We start from the raw sequence: 6816 nt of genomic DNA, 5'->3' as shown, positions 1-6816 counted from the left end.
TAGCAAAGACAGTGGAGTCATTCAGTCCAAGTCTGAAGGCCTGAGGACCAGAAAAGCCAATACTATAACTACCATTCTTATTCCAAAGTTATGAAAACAAGGGGTGAGTGGCAGTGGTGTAAGTCCCACAGGCCAAAGCCACAAGAATAAGAGTTCTGATATCTAAGGATGGGAGAAAATAGATGATCTAGCTCAAAAAGAGAGAGAGAGAGAGAGAAAGAGGAAGTGGAAGTCACCTTTTCTCTCTTTGTTTTATTTGGGCTCTCAATAGATTGGATGATGCCCACTCACACTGATGAGGCTGGACCTTCTCAGCCTACTGATTCAAATACTAGTATCTCCAGGAAATATCCTCACAGATACATCTAGAAACAATATTTTACCAGGTACAGCTATCTGGGCATTCCTTAGCCCAGGCAAGTTGATACATAATATTAACCACCACATGCTCTAAATCCAAAATCCTAATATAACAAGTCTATAGTTGGCAATTCTGACGGACTGTTGTCTGGGAGACTACCAAACTTAACATAAATTTATTTTGCTAGGAATCTATGAAAAATCTTTGTAGGTAACAATATGTCTTTTTAGTCCTGCAATTTTCACTTCCTGGCAAGTCCTACCCAATTCTAACCATACCAAATATTTTTTCTACCCAGTCCTTGTTTAAATTCCACATTTTCCCTAATGATTTTCTTAATTACAGTGATTGGAAAATAAATTTATTTTCTCTTATCTAATACTGCCATATAATTTTGTTAAGTGTCATGAGTTTTAGGATTCTTAATACATTATAAACTTCCAGTTAGTCGAAATTTGCACAGGACATCTTTTTTCATAAGAAAAATATTGAATATCAAAAGATCTTTTATCCTTTTTACACCATGTTAAAGTAATTCCTTAAAAGATTTCAATATGGATGTTTTGGAGAATTGCAGGTACAGCCCAAGTTTCATAACAGAAACTAGTTCATGAGTTAGAGGGAAAACAAAAGGCAGTCCACTGGTTCTATATCTATTTTATAATACTTTAGAGACCAGAGAATATTGGAATCAGGAGATTTATAAAACACTAGCCCTCCAGGTTTCCAGTGTTTGGTTTTCCAGATGGTACATTGCATATTGTGGTTATTCATACAATACAGAGAAGATTAATCCAAAGAGCAAAACATGTAAGTGTCTTTTTAAATCATTACTTTAATACTCTACTCTCCTTTCTCCACCTCCAAAGATTTGGATAAAATATTTTTCCACATTGGCAGTATTTTTCTTTGGAATGCAAATTCCTAGTGTGGACCAATCCTATAATTATTCAGGCCAGACATCTCTAAAATGGTAAACATAAGCTGAAGGTTTACCTGTAAATTTGTGGTATGTATTCAAACTCACTGATGATTTTAGATAAATATAAGTAGAGAACCTAAATGAAAATATTTACTTACCTTAGGGAAATAAAGCTTGGAAAGCTGGTATCAACTTTCCTTCTGTCATATAAACCTTGCTTATCCCTACTTCTGACCATTTACTCATGCACTTCCATGCAAAACTTTCCTCTTCTCAGCTCCTTTTTATGAGTTTATATTTAGTGGTTACTTTAAGTTCTGTCTCAAAACTAGTTTCCTCCAAGTTACTGTTCAAGATTTTCCTACTCTGAAAATTTCTTTACCTAGATTTCTGTTTAGTACATATCTAACCATTGTCGTATAATTTTCTTATCATGTATATGTTCTAACTTGCTAATATGTTATTTTGCCATTATTCTTGAATGGGATTGTCTTTTTTACTTGGAATATAAGCTTCTTAATATCAGAAACTTTGTTTCAAGCTTGTCTAACCTGCAGCTGAAGGGCCACGTGTAGCCCAGCATGGCTTTTAATGCAGCCCAACACAACTTTGTGAACTTTCTTAAAACATCATGATTTTTTTTTTTGCATTTTTTTTCTAGCTCATCAGCTATCATTAGTGTTCATGTATTTTATGTGTGACCCAAGACAATTCTTCTTCCAATGTGACCCAGGAAAGGCAAAAGATTGGACACTCCTGCTTTATTCCATTAATCTTCTACTTAGGGGTTAAATATTGATGGTGGAAAAACACATCATTAATATATTAAATGAGAGAGTTAAAATAAAAAACATTAGAAAATACTGAAATCCTGGACTTGGTCTGGTGAGGTGAAATTTTGATAATTGTATTATCTTTTGGTTCACAGAAACTAGAGCCCAAATGCATAATAGAGAGATATTGTAGCATAGAATTATATGTGAAAAGGCCAGTGTTCTATTTGGCTCTAAACTAAGTCATTGGAAATCAAATCTGCAAGTTATAGAAATGATACCTATTGAGAATGGTTGGAGTTCATGATACAAAAGCTGAAGGAAGGCTCATGAGATAGCTAAAGTACATAAAAGTCAGTTCATGAAAGCCTTGCATGTCATCATTTTTAGGCCAAGATTTATTGAGCACTGAACAGATGACAGACACTGAAAATCATCAATTTCAATCCTTGCACTATCCCTAAGATATAGGTGGTCTTATTCACACATTATAAATGCAAAACCTAAGCCTTAGGGAAGTAGAATAGCTAAAAATAAGTAGAGAAGTTTGTATTGGTTATTTGCTATGAAGTTGCAAATAACCAAAAAGAGAATAGTCAATGAAACAATTTATCCAAAAGAGTGATAGTGTCAGATGTAGTTATAAGACAGAGGGAAACTTTCTTGATTTTCTATAAAAAATAGTAATCATGAGAGGCGGGAGAGCTGTATGCAATTTGGAGGGGGCAGGATAAAATTTGAGATTTTGGTAACCTCTCTACTTACCTATTTGAGAATCACTGTTTCACAAACATTTGTTGACAGCAACATGGAGGGGGGACTTCTATTATGCCCACTTCAATTTAATATTCCAAGAAAGAGAATGTTTGGTCTGTTCTCTGCATGGTCTGTTCTCTACTTTTAATACATCATTTATTTGCAAGACACTAATTAAGATAAATTGATAAAGTGCCTGTTACTCAGGGTCAAGCAATTAGGATGGTGAAGGCAAAAAATCAATTTATAATGAAAAAGAAATCTGGCTATGTATTTAAAGAAGATAATATTCGTGCAGTGGAGGAAATATGCATTTTGCGTGATTACAAAATAAAACTTTTTCAGGGTTCAGCTTGAGATAAGCAATTTTTCGTAATCATCTTCTACATTGGAATGGATTGTCATTGAAATAGGTGAATTTCTAATTACTGAAGGTTTTAAAACATGCTATGCAACCTCTCATCAGAGGCATTATTCTCTCCCAGTTTTTCCATTGGATATGTGAAATTCTTTAACACCAGTATTTTCTGTGTTCCAAGCCTACTCAAACCAGCTTAATTTACAAGGGAATTCATTAGCTTATGTAAATGGAAGTCAGGAGATAGGGCAAGCTTCAGGAATAGTTAAGACCCAGAGGGTTATCTATCCTTGACACCAGAGGTATAGTTTCATTTCTCAGGCTGGCTTTCCTCATGTTGACTGCAGGTTGGCATTGCTCTTGAGTTACATGCATCTTAGTTCATATTTAGACAAAAGAAATGTTTGTTTCAATAAATTTACCACATTCAGTTTCATATCTATCCCTGATAGTTACAATGGCGGAGGTCTGCGTTATAAGCCCATCCCTGACCCAAAACTGTCAGAAATAGATTGTGAATATATTGATAAATTTGGCGTATTCCCCTGAGCAAGAGTTTTCAAACTCTGGCATCCTAAGAATCACCTGTATTGCTTGTTAAAACACAGATTCCTGGGCCCCACATCCAGAGTTTCTGATTCAGCTGGTGTGAGATCCAATGATTTATATATTTTTCTTTTATTGCATATGTTTATTGTATGCAACATGACATTTTGAAACATGTATACATTATAAAATAGCTAAACTGAGTAATTAACATGTGCATTCCTTCACATAAGATTTACATTTAACACCTGCCCAGGTAATGATGATGATTAACCACTGCCTAGGCCTCATCTCAGAATAATTAAATGGGAATCTCTGAGGATGGAACCCAAGCATCTGTATCTTTTAAATGTGCCTACAGATGGCCTGGAAATCCTGTTAAAATGCGTATTCTGATTCAGTAAGTCTGGAGAGGGGCTTGAGATTCTGAATTGCTAATAAACTCTCAGATGATACTGATGCTTCCAATTTGAGGTACTGACTTTGAACAACAAAAACTCGACAACATTCTGGTTGAATTAATCTGAGGAAGACCCAGGTGTTTCCAGTGGGTGGACGTAGCTGAGAATCATTTTCTGATGTCATCAGGACCCAGGAATTAAAACTCAATGCAAGAGAAAGAGGAGGAGTGGGTTTCTTCTGGAAAGACAGTCCCTTTGCCAGACAGTGGGTAATTGGATTGGTTGGGTGATCTTTAAGGTATGTTGTAACTTTTGGCTTCCAGGAATTGTCTTGAGTTCCTTTGTGTTAGCCCACAAAAAACAGAACTTTGCTTCAGAATCAATTTATAGTTGAAAAATCAACTTAAATATAAATATTTGTTTTGTTTTGTCAACTCAAAAGGAATCTGAAATCATAAAAATCTTCCATTACTGGGCTCCAAGTCATCGTGTTTTAAGTCACCAGCATCTTAATCTTTCCTTAGAACCTTGCACTTAGACAGCTGTCATAATGGAAAAAAAGGAAAAAACATTTTCACATGCCACACAGAATTTGGATAAGCACATCAGTGATTTTTTTCCTAACTCATCTGCAGTGTTTAGTTTACCTTGCCAATGTGTGTTGCTTACTAATAGCTGCTGATCAGAGCTGAATGAATAGATTTGTTTATAGGAAAGATTTGCATGATTGAGAATCAATAAGGCATGTTTAAATCCTCAGGTGATATGAAGAGAGGAAATAGGACAGATTAAGCTGGTGAGTGTTTACAGTTTAATTGTGAGCAGACAGGTGAAAAAAATCTACTTTGGGAGAAAAAGGAAAAAGAAAAAGTTCTATGATGTCAAGGGTGAAAATATCAGAAAAATGTAAATACAGGAATCTGGATATTTTAGGCCTATGCCTTAGCCCACATTCATTAAAACTGATTTGAGCTAGTGGTCCATCTGTCCATTATTAATGAGAGAGAATGGCTTCAGCAAATAACTCATTAAATATGCACTGTTTGGCCCAATGTGAAGTGATATATCTAAATGGCATTTGTAAATGCTTATGTGAAACTACTTTTAGAAATGTCTTAAACCACAAATAAAAATAAAGAGATAGGAAGAAGAGACATTTTTCTGTGGATGCTTTTGTTGTTACAGGTACCCATTCTCTTTAATTCTGAAGCCTGGTTGGTGGAATTGAGATGAATTTGTTAGGGTCATATTTTAAACCTCAGGTAGCACTTCCCCCAGCTATCCACTATCTTTCCATGGCATATTTTATAGTTTAGATCTGCAGGGTAAGCCTCATAAAAATTACAAATTTTATCACCCCACATTAAAGTGACTGGTATGACGAGCTGTATGAGTTAAGAGCATGGCTAATTATCTACCTCTTAGCATTTGCAAGGTCAGTGCATCAACCGCTAAGAAGGTCAGTACTGGGTGAAGGGCTGACAAGAACTTGGGAGGTTTTGTGAAAAGATCAATGACCTTCATTTGTCTTAGGAGGCAAAACAGGCTGAAACAATTCCAGCAGAGGGCAGCAGTACCTACATCAGCATGGCACTGTGTCAGAGGCCCTAGCAGATGGCAATAATGATAGTTGTAGCAATAACAACAATTACCAATAGGGTTTATTACTCTATGTCAGGCTTTTTATATGTATTCTTCCATTCAATTTTCAAAACAACCACATAAGGTTTTTATTGTACTCATTTTACTAACAAAGAAGCAGGCTTTGATTTTAAGTAGTATACCTGAATGAGTTGACCAGATGTATATAATAGAAGTATGACTTTTGAATCAAGGACTGGCAGGCAGGTCAGCACTCCAGAAAACGATGGGTACTACAACTACTATAATTCATAGTGTTCTGACCATGGTCAATGTGACTTCCTCCAACTGTATTCTTACAACACTAACATTCCTGTTAAGATGTTACTGAGTGTTCTTCGTGTGTGTGTGTGTGTGTGTGTGTGTGTGTGTGTTTGTGGTGGGGTGGTGGTGGTGGGGTACCTACATGGGAAAGAGTTGGATAGGATTTATGACAATGTCGAGTTATATAATTTTTAGCAAGTTTATCTCTTGTATTACTTTTGCAAGGAGAGATACAATAGGGAACATGATCAATATATTACAGAATATTATCTCCAGTGGAACACAATTTATAAAGAGCTGAACGAGAAAAAGAATACAAGATCAACAGTTAAAAACCTAGTGTGTTAGTCTATTTGGGCTGCAGTAACAGAATACTACAGACTAGGTGCTTATAAACAACATACTTTTTTTTTTTTTACATTTCTGGAGGCCAGAAAGTTCAAGATCAAGGCACTGTCAGACTTAGCGTCTGGTGAGGGCTCACTTCCTGGTTCATAGTTGTCCATCTTCTCACTGTGTCCTCACATGGCAGAAGGCATGAAGCAGCAATCTATAGCAAGATTGATTTTATATGTATATAAGAAAAGAAAGCAAAAAATATCAGACTCATTGGTGAATTTAGTGGATCAAGCCATAAGAAAAAGTAAGAATGCAGACTTCTAGAAGATAATAAGTAATATATGGCAATTAAATAGTTGAGCCTCAACTTGCTTCTAAACTTCTTTATAGCTAAAGAGTCTCAAATTTAAGTGTCTTCACCTAGTGACTTTGCCTTGTCACTTGGAATTGAAAGT

General features: G+C 35.6%; 1 long non-coding RNA gene across 1 annotated transcript in view; it reads right to left on the bottom strand.

Annotated features, from left to right (window-relative positions):
- Positions 1-6411: 6411 nt before the first annotated feature.
- LINC02624 (long intergenic non-protein coding RNA 2624) overlaps positions 6412-6816 on the bottom strand; it is a 48558-nt gene continuing 48153 nt past the window's right edge. Inside the window, exon 5 of the long non-coding RNA NR_134330.1 lies at positions 6412-6572. This is a non-coding gene — a long non-coding RNA (long intergenic non-protein coding RNA 2624). The remainder of the gene's footprint in view (positions 6573-6816) is intronic.

Source organism: Homo sapiens, chromosome 10 (assembly GCF_000001405.40).
Source record: "Homo sapiens chromosome 10, GRCh38.p14 Primary Assembly".
In the NCBI taxonomy this organism is placed as follows: domain Eukaryota; kingdom Metazoa; phylum Chordata; class Mammalia; order Primates; family Hominidae; genus Homo; species Homo sapiens.
Note: the sequence above shows the minus strand (reverse complement) of the source record. Positions and strands in the feature narration are given on the sequence as shown.